This window comes from Homo sapiens, chromosome 10, assembly GCF_000001405.40.
Source record: "Homo sapiens chromosome 10, GRCh38.p14 Primary Assembly".
Lineage (NCBI taxonomy): Eukaryota > Metazoa > Chordata > Mammalia > Primates > Hominidae > Homo > Homo sapiens.
In genome coordinates this window covers 121107233-121127218 of record NC_000010.11, presented here as the reverse complement: position 1 = coordinate 121127218, position 19986 = coordinate 121107233, and the positions used below count along the sequence as shown (strand labels likewise).

The 19986-nt window shown below is 40.0% G+C and overlaps 1 long non-coding RNA gene across 2 annotated transcripts in view, besides 1 other annotated feature; it reads left to right on the top strand.

Moving 5' to 3' along the window:
- Positions 1–8352, top strand: part of LOC124902515 (uncharacterized) — a 66678-nt gene extending 58326 nt beyond the window's left edge. For both annotated transcript variants that reach the window (XR_007062318.1, XR_007062317.1), the window contains exon 2: positions 7870–8352. This is a non-coding gene — a long non-coding RNA (uncharacterized LOC124902515). The remainder of the gene's footprint in view (positions 1–7869) is intronic.
- Positions 13127–14326: an enhancer, noted in NCBI's record as "P300/CBP strongly-dependent group 1 enhancer chr10:122872407-122873606 (GRCh37/hg19 assembly coordinates)". NCBI's record gives its function as "activates an origin of replication core promoter dependent on BRD2, BRD4, P300/CBP, MED14 and CDK7 cofactors, with strong dependence on P300/CBP, by STARR-seq in HCT116 cells {active_cell/tissue: HCT116}" and the evidence as "EXISTENCE:reporter gene assay evidence [ECO:0000049][PMID:35650434]".

Here is a 19986-nt window from a genome sequence, read left to right as displayed (position 1 = left end):
TGTTGGATGCCGTGCAGACTTCTTGTCACAAAGGGTCTTGCTGGAGTCACTATTTATTTTAACCTCTCCTACTTGCGGACTCTGAATTTCAGTCTCCAGCTGTAGGGCATTTCCAGCATGGATTGTCCAGGCAGAATGCAGCCAGAGAGCCGATAACCCTTAATGTAGAACACGCTTCCAGAGTACTAAAGAGGCCGTAAAGTTGCTTAAGGAACCCAGCTCCAGACAAAGACACCATGGCACCCATGTATTTTGGAAGAGCCTAGGAAGAAAGCACAGGGCTCTATGGGACAGCCTCCATCTATATCCAGTCTGATCATTTACATGAGTGGAATTATCGCCATTTTTTGCATGATTGAATTAGTCATTGGAACATTTCTTGAGTGTCTGCCATGTTTTTGACAATGTCCTAGATACTGGAGACTCTTGGGAAGGTAGACATTGGGCAAAGGAGGGAGGATAGAAAGAGACTCACTAACCTCAAGGAGCCCAAGGGCTGAGTGTAGGACTAAGGCCCTGCTCTTTTGTGAAATGAAGTCTCTAGGGCGATGGAGGTGGGTGTAAGTAACTTGCCGGCAGTGAGGGGAGATGCCCAACCAGAGTTGGGCTCTGTGCTAATTTTCTTGGATTCCAACACACTGTGTGCAATTCAGGAGAAAATGGATGTGGAATCAGCAGTCCATGTAGAGAGGCCATAGGTAAGGCTTTTGATCCATTGGTAAAACTGGCTGGGGATATCCCCAAAGACTTGCCCAGTGGAGCCAGTTCAAGGCTTGTGTCCCAGGGAAGCTGTCAGGTCAGTTTCTTCTTGCAGGACCTTCCTAGGCCATTGGAACATCATTGAAAGAAAAGCTTTCAAGAAGTATCTAGACATGGCAGGGAAGTGTTCTGATTGATTATTGCTGTGTGCCGAAGTCCCAAGAGGGAGGAGGGTGAGAGCGTGCCGCATGCCTTCTCTTGGTAAAACTGCAACACTTCAAAGCAGCCCCTGGGTGCCTGCGTCTATTCTGTGGCCTGCTGAAGAGCTCTGGTGAGGTTTGTGCCCTCTTAAAATGACTCTTGCACACGAATCCACCACCACCAAGAAGGCTGTGGTGAAGCTCATGGCACGGAAGAGCTTGATTTTGGGAAAAGAGCTGCCGTTGTCACCACAAATACAGCACGTTGACTCTAAACCCAGGGCTGCTGTTACTTATTTCCTGCTTCATGGTAAGTGGTGCTATGGTTATTCCAGAACTCTGCAGACACTTTGCAGAGCTACTGAGACCACTCAACTCTTTAAAAAGTCCCCCAAGACTCTGATTTATACTTTACTGTTTGTCTGTCTTTTGTCTTATTCATTTTTCATATATAAATGGTGGCTGGAATAAGCCTATTTGATGTATCTAGAGGATCTAAAATAGCTTCCAGTGCTTTTGAAATGTGGTTAGAGAAATCTTACCTTGAGGAGGATTTTTAAACGGATTTATGAAAGGTTTCCGAATAACCTGCTGCAGAGTAATTTGTCACTCTCCGTGACTCCAGACCGATTCTCCCCTTTGTTTTAAAAGGCAATGGCTCTTATTTATTTTTCTAAATGTAAAAGCAAAATAATATGCATTATAAAACATTTGGAAAATATAAAAGAAATATACATAAAAAAACAAAAATCGACCGGGCGTGGTGGCTCACACCTGTAATCCCAGCACTTTGGGAGGCCAAGGCAGGCCGATCATGAGGTCAAGAGATCGAGACCATCCTGGCCAATGTGGTGAAACCCCATCTCTACTAAAAATACAAAAATTAGCTGGGCATGGTGGTGGGCGCCTGTAGTCCTAGCTATTTGGAGGCTGAGACAGGAGAATGGCTTGAACCTGGGAGGTGGAGGTTGCAGTGAGCCAAGATCGCCTCACTGCACTCCAGCCTGGCAACAGAGCAAGACTCGGTCTCAAAAAAAAAAAAAAAAAAAAAAAAATCACCCTTATTTCCTCCACTAGGGCAATAATCACTGTTGGCGTTTGGGTGTTTTTTTGTTTTTTGTTTTTTGTTTTTCCAGTGTTTATCTGTGCATGTATAATTGATATACATTAGGAAACAAAATATACACTGTATTTAATTTTATGTCATATTTTCCATATTGTATTGTAACAATTTTCCCCTCTAAAATCACTGGCCCACAAAATCAGGAGCAAAATAAAATGGCTTTTCTAAGCCATCAGATTTTGGGGTAATTTGTAACACAGTGATACTGACTGGAGCACATTCATATATTAATGCACATTTCTTTGATTAATGGTGAGGAACGTTTTTACGTTTAGTGGACATTTGAGATGCCTTTCTTTGATGGTCTATTTATATCACTTGCCAATCTTTAAATTTAGGGATCAGTGTTTTCCTTAGTGATTAAAGAAATATTTTTGGTTCATTAAAACTAATGAATCTACAATTCTGGTTGCAAATAGTTTTTTGAGTTGTGATTTGCCTTCGTTTTCTTCAAAATGCTATTTTGGAATTAGACAGTTTCTATGTTGTAGAATCTGTTAAGTGTTCTATTTGTCATCTCATTAATCATTTCTAAGTTAGAAAGTTCTCCTTCCAGAGCTCAGTGGTTCACCTGCATTTCTGGTTTTTTACTGTTATCTATTTAACATTTAACACATATCAGTCTGTAGCTATTTTGCGGTTTGATAATAATTTGGATTGACAGCTAAATTTCCCAATATTATTTCCTGAATAAACTATTTCTTCCTAATTATGTTATGCAGCTTATTTTATCATAAACATATATGAATATGTATTTGTATATACTAATAAATAATATATGTATAAATATATTAATAAATGGATTCATGCATTTATGTATATTATATATTTATAACATACACATTTATGTATATTATATATATAAATTTTCACACACACATACATATACATATGTTCTAAGTTCATTTTAGGGCTATCTGCTCTATTTCATTTGCTGTTGGTTCTTGTTCCAGTAAAAGATAGTTTTAAATTCTGATAGGGCAAGATCTGTATAGCTTATTTAAATTTTAAAATAATCTAAGCTATTCTTTTTTATTCTTCTAGAAAATCTTTAAAATTATCTTTTCATCTAAGTTCAGCATATACATTATTGGGAAAGAACTGATACCTTTATAGTACTTTGGTTTTCTGTCTTGAAACGAGATACCTTTCTCTGTTTACTCAGACCTTCTTTTTGTGTCTCCCACAAAGTTTTGTCGTTTTCATATAATTTTCTTATGGCATTATTCCTGTGTATTGTTATTATGAATTGGTTCTTCTATTATCTTTTTAATTAATTAGTTCTTGTATTTTAAAGAAATTATTATTTTTGTATGTTTATTTTATATCTGGCCACTTTAATGACACTTCTGTTATGAATGGATCTCTTGATTTTTCTAGATATATAATAATATTGTTTACTTAGGGAGTAATTTTACATCCTCCTTTCTAGTAGTTTAGTGTTCATTCCTTTTTCTTATGTTATTGCATTGCCTAGATCAGGGCCTAGCGAATTGCCTGGCACATAGTAGATGATCAATAAAACTGTTGTTGAGTAGGTCAATTGGTGGATTCTTACTGAAAGTATTTAATTTGTTATTAGATGGCCTATTTTAATCTTTAGTTAAATATGAGGTTCCAGTAGTCTCACCTAGTGCAACATGGATAAAGTTAAACAGGTTTAAAGATAAAGTACAGCATGTCTCTCCCATTCTTGCCCATGTCCTCTCCCCCACCTCTTCTCCATTGCTCTGGCAAGTGAATTTGTTGTTCCCCAATTATGGATGCCATTTCATTCAGCTGCTGTGTTGCCACTTCAGCTGGGTCCTGCCGCTCCCTTGGGGAACCTTAGCTGTCCCCTGCACCTTCACTGAGCAGCACCACAGCCCTGGCACCACGGCCCATCACAAGCTCTGCTGAGTAAAGCCGCATTTTCTGGGGCAGCTGCTGCCTCCTCCACTGAGTACCACTGGCCTGCCGGCCACTGTGGCCACTCCTTGACACCATGATTATTGATGTGGCCTTCACACCTTCCAGAAAGCAAGGACTTTATCTCCGAACTCTCTTGTGGTTACTAGAGTCTCTGTTGTATTCCATTTTTATAGTAACCTATATGTAGTGGTCAAGAGCAAGGTCTTCAGTATCCCATGCACCAAGGCTTGAGCTCTGTTTGCTAAGTATCAGGTAGAGAATCTTGAACAAATCACAACCTTTCTGGACCCCCATATTCTTCATGTGTAAAATGGAATAAAACTCCAAATATCATCATTATAATTATTTTTAAATGGTGATGAAGAGCTGAGTCCATGTTGTCAGTTATACCCATTATCTCTCACCCCTTCCTACCTTGTACTTCACACTCCAGCTATGCAAATACCTGCTTTTCCGTGCTGTTGCACACACCTGTGCTGTTGCTAATTCTCTCCCTTTTGGCCAGAAGTGCCTCCCATCACCTTTCTCTGGCCACACTCCTACAGATCCTCTAAGACCCAGCTCAGTTGCCACCTCCTCAGGAAGCTCTCCCTTATTGGCCTGCCTTCCTGCAGCACCCACAGCCCCTGAAGGTTGGGATAGGTACCTGATTGGTAAGTGCTCAAAAGGCACAGGGCAGACCTCATGCACTGATCACTTTGTTGTTGGGTTGTCTGTCGTCTCTGTTAGCTGATGAGCATCTCGGAGGCAGGTTCTATGTCTTATTCTCTTATATTCCTGGTACCAGCATCACACAGGGCCCTTAGAAAGCTCAGTTGCCATTTGCTGCACTTCAGTGACTTGTATGGCTTGGATTGAACAGTATTTCTCTCTTAGGGGATGGGGTCCTCTTTGAGTAGGGCACTAATGGGTTGGGATGAGAGAAGGGGAATAATGACCCTATCAGGCCAACCAGCGGAATCAACCCTAATGGATAAAGAGAAGACAGACGTGCTGGCCAGATGGCCTACACCTTTAAACTAGGGCCGCTGGCTTGGGGGCTTCTGAGCAGCTTTACTTTAAAATGGAAAAGGCTCAATGTTTCAGTATGGCCCTTACCTAAGAGCTGGCCCTGTCTCTTTCCTCTTGATGAGGACAGCCAAGTACAACATGCAGGAGGGATGGATGCAGAGACATGTGTCACCCAGCAGCTAAATGCTTTTTGCTCAAAATAAGGCCCAATGGAAGGGATCAAAGGCTGCACGTAGCCAGGCAGTGACAAATTTATGAAGTCCAGTCATCCTCATGAAAACATTGTGTATTTTAATCTGCCCAGTGGAAATAATTCAATCTTGAGTTTCTGTAGAAGGAATTGCGAGTCAGCTACACTTCTCCTTAAAGACGTAAGAGATCTGTTTAAAGTGACTTTTCCATCTTTCAAAGAATCAAGGTTTTCTTAGCAATAGAGGCACCTAAATGCACCTTTGTATTTCCTCGTGCTGAACATCTAGAGTTCCATGAGTACACAAGCTTTGTTATTACACTTAGATTTACAAACAAAATTGTTGGCACGGAAAAGTCCGTGGTAGGTGGAAGAGACCACCCATACGTGTGCAGATGAAAGCCCAGTTGGAAAATCTCCTTATGTCAGCCAAAAGTGTGACTGCGTTTCTAAAAACTTGGCTGTTCTCTTGGTGGTCGAAACAGTGAACCTTTTTGTTCATTGAATGCTGAAAAAACAAGTATGCCAAAGAGTGCCTTTTCCTAAAGGGTTTCAAAACTCTTAGCTATTTTTGACTCCTTTCTCTCAGGGCTTAAGAATATTCAACAAACGTGAATCAGAGATGTTTGATTGTTTCGTGTGTACATCGGAGATTTCAGGCCATGGCCAACAAGTGTTGGCCCATTTGCCTGCCTTGGGGCTTACAGTGAGGGCTCTTTATGCCCAGCTCCTCTGGCTGAAGTCAGAGATTGATGCTGAAAGTGTTCACTCGGTGGGGATGTGGGAGAGATGTTTGGGCATTGGATGACAGGGGAAAAAAACGTGATCTTTCTTCTTGGAAAGTCCACTGTGTAGGTGGCTGACCTAGGCTCCAAGCATAGTCTGTGGTTATGGAAGGGAGAGGCCGAGTCTCAAAACTGGGAGAGAACCAGTGACTGGAATTTCATGAGCTTTCAACTTTTAACCAGCTGGGCCAACAAATTATCCAACTGGTGTGTGTGTGTGTGTGTTTGTGTATACAAATATATATGTAATTGTATATGTGTATGTACATACACATACACATATATACGTAATGTAGTAGACATATATATATATGCAACATTGTGTAATGCTGTATATGTATGTGGGTATGTGATACACTATATAATAAAGTTGATGCAATTTCTCTGCAGTATTTTTATGTTTTTGTCATGACCTCTCATAAACCGAAAAAACTTTTTGAACTAGTTTTTTTAAAATAAAAAAGTAATATATGTACAAAGCAAAAAATTCAAAGAACACAATAAGCTCCTCAATTAAAAAAACTCTCCCTTTTATTCTGGGTCCCCAGGTCCCCTACCATGGCAACCAGTGTTAACAGTTGTTTTTAAAGCAATCCTTCCAGAGATGTTCTAAACTTGCATTTGCACAAACACATATACACCTTCTAACCACATAGTCAAACCAGATGGGAGCATATTATGTAGTTCTCTACATTTTCTTCCTAGTGATTTGTTCTGGAGATCCTGTTCTAACATGTTCATCTACCTTATTCTTTTTAGGGCTGGTGTAGTGTCCCATTTACTTAGATGTAGCCCAATTTAGCACACCATCCTTCACCAAAGGGCATGCAGGTCATTCCTAGCTTCCTGTTACAATAAACAGCACCGTAGTTAATCTTCCATGTGCAAACATAGCTCTAGGAGAACCTCCCAGAAATGAGTTATCAGTGTAAATGGGTATATGCGCTGCAAATTATGATTGTCATTGTTATTATATTTTTATAGATATCCACAGAGGTTGAGCCAATTTATTCACCCACCAGTAAGGCCAAGAGCATCTGTTTTGTTATCTCCTCATTAGCCCCATGTGTTTCAATCTTTGCCAATCTGATGATGAAAAATGCCACAATAAATGTGAAGGTTTATAAAAGCAGAGTTTAATTGCTTTCTTATAGATATTACAACATCACAATGCTTAAACATCCCTTAGCAAGCATTCCATCCAAATCCCTCACTTTACAGATGAGGAAGAAAGCTCAGGGCAGAAACAGCCCTGTAAAATCCATGCAGTATGCCCCCCTGCCTCCCTTCTTAGGTGCAGAGCCGCTGTTTCTTGCTAGCAATGTTGTATCAATTACTTGACTTCATCAATGGGCTAAAGTTGCAGTATAATAGTACTCCATCATCTACCATTTTTGGACATGTAGATCACATATAGGGAGAGTTGGTAGCAGAACATCCTTCTTGATCACTGGAGAAGATTTTTTAAAAGTTTTTCTCCTGGGGGAGGTGATGCAACACTTCATTGTCTGCAAGTGTGTGATTGTAAAGTAGGAATGATTGACAGCAGATCTTTCACAAGGGGAAGAGCTTTTGTTTGTGGGGTGAGAGGGAAGAAGGGCAGGTAGGGGAGGGTAAGAAGGGAAGGAGCCAGAGTCAGACTGGGTTCTAGTTCTGGTCCTCTCCTTTCTAGAGCTGTTACTTTGGGCAGGCTACCTCCAAGCATCAGTTTCCTCGTCTGTAAAATGGGGATAATTATAACATCTATCTCTTATGGTTTCCATCAGGATTAATAATATAATACCTGAAAAGCATTTGGCACGGTACCCAGCAGATTAAGCCCCAGTCTATACAATGTGTTAGCATCAATGTCATCTTTCATAGCTTTCATGAATTCATTTCTTCTAGCCTTCATCCCAGTGGCCTCTGCTCTTCACTTCCTTAACTTGCTTATCCATTTTTTTTCTTCAGATGATCATGTGAAATAAGAACATTATCAGAGACAGTGAATTTCTCATGGAAGAAACAATCAGCACTCCACAGGAAGGCAAATGCAGGGTCTTCCCCAGAAAGCCCAAGCCCTGTCTCAGTTGTGGCCAACTCTCAGAGATGTAGGTGGTGCAGGTGCTATTCGTAACCTCAGCCCATCCAAGAGCATCTGGAGAAGGGCTTCAGGGTTGATCTTGACTTCTGCAGAGTCAACCACCAGAGTCCTTCAGATCCATGCCTGGCACAGCATTCCTCTGACCCTGACTGACATTCCCCACTCATCTCTGATTTCAGAAGCCGGACACCCTTGGAGATAAAGACTCCATGGCAATGCAAAATGATCACCTGAAGGCCAATCAGGGTCAACACAGCTTTTCTAGACTGCAGAAATGCCAAATATCAACTGTTCTCCTCCAGTATTTTAAATTTAAAATAAAAATGTCAGTCAGCCCTTTTCCTCTTTCATCTAGGACTTGTGCAGTCTGTGATCTAACTCCTAAGTTTCTAAGGCTAGTGGTTGGTTGTATTTCTGGGCTTTAGGGTACAAAGACCCTGTGTGTTTGTTTCTTCTTCTTAGCATCCTTTTTACACCAGTAGGAGAACTAGTTTCTAGGGTATCTACTAGTTTCTAGGTCTGTAGAGGACATATTCTGTGTGACCAGGCTGCAGGTTAGTATCTCTATAACTGTGTATTGTTTGGCCTCCTCACAGAAATGTCAGGTCTTTTTGATAGAGCTGAAAAACGCTACATCCGCTCCTTTGCTAGAAAAGATTCAATGTAAAGATTAGTTATAGGAACAATAGCCCCTTTTTAACCTCATTTTTATGTTACACATTCCTCTGATTTTGCTAGCCCTGCCTCTCTCCAAACAATCAGGGCTCTGTCAGAAAGCTTTCAACCATGTTTCGAGCACCTTTGAAAAACAACACACACATGTGCATGCACACACACACACAAAGCACAATGTGTGCACTTCATAGTTAGCTTCATCCATAGGAAATATGTAGAAAAAATGGAATTAACTCTAAAGCATGAAGTTGGTGGGTAAGGGATCAGGGCTCTAGAGCTAGCAATGCCCCTGCCTCACTGCAGTGCCCTGTGACAGGTTGTTAGCCCTCTGGCCCTATTGACTCATCTGCATTACAGGACATTGGATTTGTTGATCTAGGTGGGAATGGAGCCCCTCCCTCTACAGTATATCTGTATCTCAACTTCAGGCTGGGATTTACTGATTCTTTGTGTTTCCCTCTTGTTTTCTTTTTTCTTTTTTCATTTTTAGAGATTTATAGAACAAAATTTAAAAAGAAAGTAACCTTTTATTTCTACTACCTCAAATTAGTAGATTGATATATAGTCCTCCCTTGCTATTAGTAGGGGATTGATTTCAGGACTCCGAGAGATACCAAACTCTGAGGATGCTCAAGTCCCTGATATAAAATGGCATAGTATTTGCATATAACTTACACATATCCTCCCATATACTTTAAATAATCTCTAGATTACTTATAATACCTAATACAATGTAAATGCTGTATAAATAATTGTTACACTGTATTTTTTCTTATCTGTACTGTTATTTTTCTGTGTTCCTTTCCTTCAATATTTTCAATCCATGGTGGGTTGAATCTGCAGATGCGGAAACCATGGATAAGGAGGGGTGACTGTATATACATCCAGAATCTCTTTCTCTTCTCTTGACCTCTTTTTTTTTAAATTGGAAACTTTTATTTTAGCTTCAGGGGTACATTTGTAGTTTGTTATATAGGTAAATTGCATATCACAGGGGCTTGGTGTACAGATTACTTCATCGCCCAGGTAACAAGCATAGTACCCAACAGGTAGTTTTTCAATCATCGCCCTTCTACCCTCTATCCTTAAGTAAGCCCCAGTGTCTGTTGTTCTCTTCTTTGCATCCACGTGTACTCAATGTTTAGCTCTCACTTATAAGTGAGAATATGCGGTGTTTGGTTTTCTGTTCCTGCATTAGTTTGCTTAGGATAATGGCTTCCAGCTCCCCACATGTTGCTGCAAAGGATATGATCTTGTTCTTTTTTATGACTGTGTAGTATTCCATGGTATATATGTACATTTATTTTATCCAGTCTACCACTGAAGGACATTTAGGTTGATTCCAAATCTTTGTTATTGTGAATAGTGCTGCAATGAACATATGTGTGCATGTGTCTTTATGGCAGAATGATTTATATTCCTTTGGGTATATACCAATTGTGGGATTGCTGGGTCAAACAGTAGTTCTGTTTTAATTTCTTTGAGAAACTGCCAAACTCCTTTCCACAATGGACGAACTAATTTACATTCCTACCAGCAGTGTATAAGCATTCCCTTTTCTCTGAGGCCTCGCCAGCATCTGTTATTTTTTGAATTTTTAGTAATAGGCATTCTGACTAGTGTGAGATGGTCTCACTGTAGTTTTGATTTGCATTTCACCAATGATTAGTGATGTTAAGCATTTTTTCATATGCTTGTTGGCCACGTGTATACTTTCTTTTGAAAAGTGTCTGTTCATATCCTTTGCCCACTTTTTAATTGAGTTGTTCATTTTTTTCCTTGTTAGTTTGTTTAAATTCCTTATAGATTCTGGATATTAGACTTTTAGGTCGGATGCATAGTTTGCAAATCTTTTCTCCCATTCTGCAGGTTGTCTGTTTACTCTGCTGATAGTTTCTTTTGCTGTGCAGAAGCTCTTTAGTTAAATTAGTTCCCATTTGTCAATTTTTGTTTTATTAAAATCTTTGTCTACTAATTCCAACATTTGTGTCATCTCGGTATCAGTTTCAATAACTACTTTCATCTTTGGATATGGGTCACATTTGCTTCTTTCTTTTCATATTTTGTTTTTAAATTGTCTCCCCTACATTGTGTAATATATGTTACAGATTCTCTGGATTCTGTTATTTTCCTTTGAAGAGTGTGAATTTTTTTTTCTAGCCAGGAGTTAAATTACTATCTAATCATCTTGAACCTGTGGAGGCTTGAGTTTATACTTTGTTAGGATGGGTTCATTTTGTTTTTTCCCTTTGTCTAAGGGCAAATTCTTAGTTCTAGGATATAGTCTTTATTTATCAGAATGACCCTTCTGAAATTTCAATGAAAAACCTCAGCTATTTATCAAGCACCTATAATCTGGCAGGATTCAGACTCAACACTAGTTTCCCTGCTAAGGCCAGCAGCTGAAATCTCTGCTCAGCCTTTTAATCCTTCTAGCTGTATCTTTCTGCTACAATCTCAGGAGTTCCCCTAACTATGCACAGATCAGAGATCAGCCAGGGACTTAAATAAAAGACATATGCATACTTGGGGGCTCTCAATGTCAACTTTCTGTGATTTCCTCCCTCATTTTTCACATGCTTCGGCTGTCCAAAACTTAATTTTCTAGTATCTCAAACCAACTACTCTGTGGTTTACTGCTTCAGTTTGAGCCACCCAACACTTTGTAGACTAAGGGGTTGCCCTCAAGGAAAAATCGTATAAACATAGATCTCACCCAATGTAACTGTAACTCCCATCTGCCAAGGGTTGAATCTCTTCCAGTACTGCCTGACTTTGATTGCTCTCTAGCATATTTAAATAGTTGTTTTAAAAAATATTTTGTCCAGAGTTAGCCCAATAGTAGCTGCTTCACCCTTATTGGAATTGAAACCCCATAGTAATTTGATTTTTAATAGTATGTATTCCGTACCATTATGTACAATAATAATGAGTTGTTGTTATCCTCATTTTGTTTCCTTAGACCTGGGTCTCCATTTTTATCTCACTTTGTTGATTTAACATCTTATCTTAGTGTTATTGCTTTAAAAAAAATAGAATTTTCATTTATTCAGTAGCACTGTGCACTGTCCAAAAGAGGATATGCCATGTTAAGATGTTGTTGATGGGAGAATAAGTCCTACCTGGCAATGTCATTGATTCATTTTCAGCTTTGTATTCACAATGTCATCTTGCTCAAAATTGTGTTGTCAGCAGTTCATATGTTTACATACAATTTTATGAATTAGGACTCCTTTTGTTGCAAATGACACAAATTCTGTCTCAAATTGGCTTAAGCATGAAAGAAAACTTATTAACATAAGTACAGGGATTTGTCATTTTGCATGCTTCTTGATCCAGGGGCTGAAATGATGTTCCTCGGTCTCAGTCTCCATCTCTCCACCTCTCTCCTACACCCTTTGTGGAGCATGAGCTCCATTCTCAGCCGACTCATCTCATGATGGCAAAATGGCCACTCAAGCTCACTCTGGGCCAGGTTCAAGTCCAATAGGAATAATCTCGTTCAGCAAGAGTCATTGATTCTCATTGGCTCTGACTGCAACATCACCTATCCCTGAACCAATCAGTGTGGAGGGAGAATGTGATCCTCTGATTGGCAGGCCTGAGTCAGTGGCCTCTTCCCAACACAGAGCTGGAGCCAGCTCCACTAAAGTGCAAGGGTTGATGGTAGAGGAAAAAGTAGTTTTCCAAAGAAATACTGTAGCAGGTTCAATAGAAGAAAAATCATAGGACTCTGGAAGGCCATGGAACAACACATTTGCTATAACAGAGTAGTGTATTGGTTGTGGGTTTGGTCCAGGTGTTATTTTAAAGCTGAATGGCTTGAGGAGTTTAAACTTTCTGCTCATCACTTAACCTTTGGGGTATGTTTCAGAGCCTATAGGAACTGCCCTGGAGGAATCCATGTGTATTTCTTAAGCAAATACTCTGAGATACTCTCAAGAAGCAGGGAGGTTCCTGTGGCCCAACTACCATTTATCAAACCACTCCAGGAATATTGGAGATAACATAAGTGTTTGAATTTTATAAAATTAAATAGAAAATTATTTCTTTAGGGTATTATTATCAAACATCCATTTACAAATATTTAATATTCTTAGCAAAAAATCCAATGATAGGGTCTGTAGAGGATACTAAAGGTTTGCTCAGATCTTGCCTTCTTATTTATCCCTGCTTAAAAAAAAAGTGAGACTCTATTCTGGGTACAGTCTGGTTTTGCAAAGCTTTAAATCTTCAGAGGAATATGTAGAAGAAAAGATCTGAGAACCCTATACGGAATTTGTTTTGAGTAAACCAGACAAAACTAGGAAGAACTAGATTGAGCTCTTTTGCTATGTAGCATGAAAAAGAATTATTCTGTGGGACAGACTAAAGCCACTTTGGGTGTATTTTTTCTCTAGGGCACTTAACTTTATTTATGGTCTCTGTTTCTTGTCACTTCTCAGGTTATCTGGGAACTTTCAAGGCATTTGCTGGCTGGTTAGTTTCTATTAATCAATGTAAGCATCGTCGCATCCTAAGCCTGGATTTTGCTGTCCTGGTAGATAAAGAGGTTATCATCATGTTATTCTCACATCTAACCTTTAGAAGTTAAAAAAATTAAAATTCCACTTCTGAGGATTTTCACAGATCTCTTATTCCAGTTTGATGTATGGAGGCGAGTGCTCAACTTGATACTCTTAGGATTAAGAGCAGGTTTGGGGCCCTTAGGGTTTTTATTTCTTAAATGTCTAACCCATTTCTGGGATATTTCCATAATATTCTTAACTAGCACAATATCCTCTACCCCAGAGGCTAAGAAGAAAACCAATGACTATTTCTTGCATTTGCAAGCCTTTGGGGCAAAGAGTCTTGTACTGTGGGTCTCTCAGAGCAGAGGGAGGCACAGATATTTTCAAGTACTGGTTGTATTCCATTTGATTAAAAGGTAAATACCTAGCATTTTTAAGAGATAAGTAAGTTGGAACTTAAAACACTTAAAAACAACCTATTGCAAGCTGCCCAGTATCTGATGACTCACAAGCCTTTCCAGGTGACCAGGGTTTGACTGAATGCCTGACTTGGCTGGGGATCCCAGGTGGCTGCTTGAACCTCTTGAGATGGTCTCTGACTAAGGACTGTGCCATTTGGGGGACATCTTTTCATATGATCCACTTGCTTCCTAGAATACGAGTGACGCCTCTCAGAGAGGGGCGAGGAGGCTGGCACGGAGGGACTTCGAGGAGATTGTAACTGGCAAATCTGCTTTGCCAAGGACCCTTCCAGCCTCCAGCCTGTGCCACCCCACTCTGATCAAACCTCTGAATCACAATTCATGTGATTTTGAAAAAGCACAACCCTGACCTTGTCACTACCCTGATGAAAACGCAAATGTCACCTTGTCACTGCAAGGTTACAACACTTTGGCGACCTCCTGCCACCCCCACTCCTTTCAGGATGAAGCCCAGATTCCTGTGTGTGCCCTGCAAAGCCCTGAAGGTCTGGCCCTGCTGCCCTCCAGCCTCAGCTTTGCTGCGCCCCCGCACTGGGAGCTGCAGACCTGGGAAAATGTTGCTTTCTCCCAGCCCTCTCCACTCTGCTGACTTCTCTGCCTGGCACCTTCACCTCCCTCTCTTTTTCTCAGCCTCTAGCTCAGATATCAACTTCCCCAGGGGGTCTCCCTAACACTCCCCTCCCTGAAATCTGAGCCACAGAGCCTCCACCTGCTCCCTCCTCTGGACTCTGGAACAAATCCATCCTCAGCATTGTGTCCTTGGGGCCCCAGCATGTGCCTGGCACGTTATGGATGTCCAGTAAATATTTGTTGAATTAATTTAAGCATAGTTTACAATTTTTTCCCTAGGTGGGGCTATGGGGCAGAAAAAAAAATGGTGGAGAGCCATTTGTTTTGCTTCCTCTTAATTTTTTTTTGAAAGTTATATCATTTGAGAATGTGTGTGTGTGTGTGTGTGTGTCTGTGTGTGTCTGCGTTTTAGTATCCTTCAGTATCTGCCATTTTGCAAAGGGCCTTTCTTGATCTATGGCTATCAGGACTGAATATCAGATAACCAAGAGCCTGGGGAGTGGTTTACTTGGATTTGGAGAGGTGAAACTGATGAATGGAGCCATTCCTTCATGATCTGAACTATACTTGTTTATAAATAATGAATAGTGATGAAGTATTTCCTCCTAGCTTTGTTTTGTTTTGTTTTGTTTTCCTTAAGACATCTTGCCTTGGGAAAGTGGGAGGAGAACTTGGAAAACTGTCCCTTGAAACATTCATTAACTGAAAAATGGGGAAAATATATGTCTCATGGAAATGCAGCTTAGCTATCATACATATGGAATGCATTTTATTCGAGTCAAAAAGTTTCTGAAGAAAAGAATCCCATAAATATACAAACTGCTTTATTTTGTTATTCAACTCAATTCAAAAAATGCTACAGGGAATTTAATATGAGAAACGTTGGCTTTTGAAGACCACACCTAAAATTTTATTATTGTTGGCATATTTATTGAAACATGTAGCATACATGATTGATTTATTTCCATGCTGTTTTGCTGAGCTCATGTTTATGTCTTGATTTCGGTTCAAGGCTGAGTTGTGTCTTTGGAATCTTATTTGAAAGGTTTTTTACAATGCGAGAATAGGTTCATTTTGATTTTTATTTCTGCAAGTAGCAGAACTGCTCTTGGAACTTCCTTTTTATGGAAAAAGTGTTAAATTAGATAGTGCTGATTAGGAGATTTTCTGGGAGACTTTCTCTCAGAAGTGTCTTCCAGATGCGTTCTCCTCACTGGCTCAGACCTTCATAGCAGGACTACCTGGGTCAGGGTTGAGAATGCACATCACTTTTTGATATGGCGTGCTGCTTATCCCAAACAGACAAATAGATCTTGTAGGATCTCAGTTTGGGTTGAGAATCATAGGCTTGTCTGAAATGTGCATGCAGCTTATGCTTTCTCCTGTTTCTTTGACAACACTGAAGTAAAATACATTTAAAGAGAAGATAAGACCCTGGCCAGTTGAATGGAAAATAATAAAATAAGTATCCTACCACTAAACACAGATTTCTTTTCACCAGCTCTGAGCCACCTCTGACATGATCAAGGGTCTTTGGGGAGATGCCCTGGACTTGCATCAAGTGAAGAAAATATTCCAGCAAAGTTCGATTATGAGAATTTCTCTTATTGAAAGATGCCCTTTGTGGAAATGAGGAGGGAAGAGTGAGGGGGACTTGGAGCTTGGCTGACAGACTGGAGAGGGCTGCCCCTCTCTTAGAAAACAATCCACCTGGGCTCCAGTATCCTGAGACCACTGCAATCCCAGCTCTTCTTGTTATAGATCCTCAAGAGTGGATCCTAAGTGCTGCATCTTCTGTTGAGTAATAAATGAAGTGTCAACTTGCCTTTAGGGGCCAAGTTAGAAAAAAATTCATACTAATTAAGAGAGTTGTTCACCCTGTGAAACCTTCAATAAGGAGGTAGGGAGGGGTGGGAAGGGAGGTATACCAGAGGGAAGACCAGATGGATACTCATCTCCCAGTTCACATTTACTCAGGCACTTGGTAATCAAAAAAGAATTGCCTTTACTATTTAAATTGTTATTCTTCCTTTCCCTTCCCTAACCCACCCAGCTTCACCCACACCCCTTTCATGCTTGCCAATAATTAAATGTGTATGTGATGTTATCCCATTATAAACCAACTAAGAGACTTCATGATGGTAGGGAGCCTGTCAGTTTCAATCATTCCTGTATTGCTGGTGCCTACAGTGTCTGCTGTTTTCTGTAAATGTTTGTTAAATGAAGTGAATTATTTAGGAAGGGAGGACAGGAGAAAAAGAAAACAATAGTAGATGTTCCAAGAGGTATGAAATGGGTGATATCAATTTTGAATCACAGCAGTAACTCCATCAGGTGAAACTGATCAAGGGCAGCTTCCTGAAGAGTTTGGGATTTGAGGTGGTCTCTGACAATGGAGTTCAATTAAATAGGAAGATGGCATCTGAAAGATACAAACACTGAATAAGGGGAGGCAGGAAGTTATAAGCTGTGATCCCAGAATTCTGGGTAGACCAGTTAGCTGAGCAGGTTAGTAGGACAAAAATAGAAAATGTGCATAATTAATCCAGAAGTTGGACTGATCTGAATTAGTAATTAAGTAAAATTTTATATTTCTAGAATTGTAAATTTTATATTTCTGCCTTTTCTCCCATCCATCCTCTCTGACTTCTCAATTTCCCAGTAGGCTTCTCTTTCCGGAACTTCCCTTGGATTGGAAGTCTATTGGTTAAATGTCCCTGAGTAGGACCTGAGGAGGTGCTCAGGTGTTACAATTCCTGAAATTGGGGTTCTCAGTGACTAACATGGACAAGTCCATAATCTCCATGAAATGTGATACAAATGGGTAAAATAAAAGTGCTTCAAAATATATGGTGCAAAATCAAGGTGAATGTGATTTCTATACATTTTTTTCAAATATGTATTTATAGGGAAAAAGGAAGTTTTTTAAGAAGGGAAATATACTGAATGACGGTTGTGGATTTGGGTAGATAGAATAATTCATACACTGAAGATGGCTTAGTTATCTAAAAAGTGTTAACCAGTGGGGAATGCAGACAAGTTCCAAACATTTCTCAGCGCTCTAATGATAGAGCAAATGCAATAATCAGCAGCACATTTCCTGCATTACTATGCAAATCATGCTACCACTAAATTAATAGTTGTCATTTGTTGTGTTTCCTGGTTTCTCTTATCCCTTTCATTTTGGTATCAGAGATTAAGATAAAAGGCATACTTCTATTATCAGTCAACTTTTGACTGCATGTATTTTTCACTCTTTTTGGCCAAGCTCTAGTTCACTGACACAGACTTAATGGAAAGAAATGATAGTACTATTAAAAAATAATTATGGACTTAAAATAGCAGGCACATTTTTAACCACCATGGTTATAACAGAGATGGGTTATGATTAGAACCTTAAGCATAACTGTGAATTATCTTCCTTCTGCTGTTGGGAGCACAGGGGGAGGGGTAAACATTGATTCTGAATGACATTTTTCCTTTTAGAAATTATTTGGATAGAGACATCATCTAGGGATAATTTTGCTGCAGCATGCTCCAATAAGCCAGTTTAATGGTGTATCAGTGATTCCCAAGGTGGGTGGGGAGGGTGAGCTGTGTATCAGCACCAGCAGGTGCATCTTCAATGTATGCCCTTCCTCTGGAGATTCTGACATGTAACTTAAGGGAGACCATTCTCCTTACTCCGTGCCACTATGAACAACTTCCATTTATGAGTTACAGAATGTTCTTTAGCTATATGCGGATAAAGAAGGGTTGAGAACCACTGGTCTGAATGCATTTTATCACTACGAGAATTAGGCCACTGTTGCTTAACTCTCATATATTATAGGATAAGGTTAGCTACCAATTCCTGAGTTACATGCTAGGTCTTTGCTACGTGCTTACATACATATGTCCAATCTAAATATTATTCTCACTTAGAGGTGAAGAAGTGAAGGCTTGGTATATGGATAGTCCAATAAAATGGATTGTCCAAGACTACCTGCTAGGTGGCATTGCAGGGATTTACATCCTAGCTTTTCTGGCTAAATTAACAAAGCCCCTATTGATTCAAATAACTGGGGCATGACCCTGTAAAGAACGTCTGTTTTTACCTGTCACCATCTCTTTCTGTCTTAGGGTAGCAGCACCCTGACTTTCTTTTAGGGATCATTCCTTGCTCACTCTTAGTTCACGTGGCTCTAGTACAGTCAATTCCCCCACTGACTCCTGGGATGGGCACTTTCCCTGGCATAGCCAGTCAATCAGCACATCCTGTAACTCCAGCCCCAGTGATTGGTCCAGGGATGGGCACATGACCCAAGCAGGGAAACCAGAACCGATTCTAGGATTTAGGCTGAAATTTGAGAAAGAATCCACCAGGATTGCTAAGACAGAGCATAAGCCTGGAGCTGCTTGAAGGTTCTGCCTGAATGTAGCCAACACTTTTTTATGAATCGGGCTTCTCCAGAAAAACCAAACCAATAGGCTGCATATATATATATATATATATATATATATATATATATATATATATATATATATATGTACACACACACACACACACACATACATACACAAGAGTCATGTGCTGCATAACAACATTTCTGTCAGTAATAGCCCATAAGATTATAATCCATAGTTTTACCATATCTTTATATGTTTAGATACACAAATGCTTACCATTGTGTTACAGCTGCCTACAGTGTTCAGTACACTAACATGCTACAGCATGTTACAGCTGCCTACGGTGTTCGGTACACTAACAGGTTTGCAGGCTAGGAGCAAAAGGCTTTACTATACAGCCTATGCATATAGTGGGCTATACCATCTAGGTTTGCATAAGTATGCTCTATGATGTTCACACAACACTGAAGGCTGAGAAGTGCCGAGATCTACAGTTGGTAAGCTGAAGACCCAGGAGAGCCAATGGTATAAGTTGCAGATTGAAAGGCAGGCAGTCTCAAGACCCAAGAAGAAAGGATGTTTTGGTTCCAGTCTGAAGATTGGAAAAGACATGTCTTCGATCAAGTCAGTCAGACAGAAGGAGTTTCCTCTTACTGAAGGGTCATCTTTTTGTTCTGTTCAGGTCTTCAAGGAATTAGATAAGGCCCATTTTCATGAGAAAGGGAAATTTGCTCTACTCAGTCTACCAATGCAAATGTTAATCTCATCCAAAAACACCTTCACAGACACACCCAGAATAATGTTTGACCAAGTATCTGGGCACCCCAAGACCTAGTCAAGTTGATGCATAAAATGAACCATTACAGCCTCGAAGAGCAGAGACGACTGATATAAGACTGTTGATTCACGTCCTTGGTGACCATGTCTCATTCTCTACCTCTTGTATTTTCAGTTACATGAGCCAATAAGCCCCCAGCTTTCTGCCCCCTTTTTCAGGGAAGCAGGGAAGTGTTCTTACTAATGCGAACCCCTTGCCACCCAGAATCTTCAATCTTCACACAGCCTTAATGAAACTGCTGTAAGTGGGAGAGCTGAGCACATGCCTACTGCACTCAAATGTATTGACAACATGTGACGGTGCAATTGCTGATGACTATGTGGCATGTTCCTGCTGAGGCTGGGATTGATGGCATGGCCCCCAAGGCAAACACCTTGTTTATGGGCTTCTCACACAACAGCACTAATGTGTATTGTGAAAGTGAAATGTTTTTGATAGATTTGCAATCTTTCAGTAATTTTAAATTTCTACATAGGTCTTATTTTTTAAATTTTTGTTTATTTTGATTTTTAGAAATTT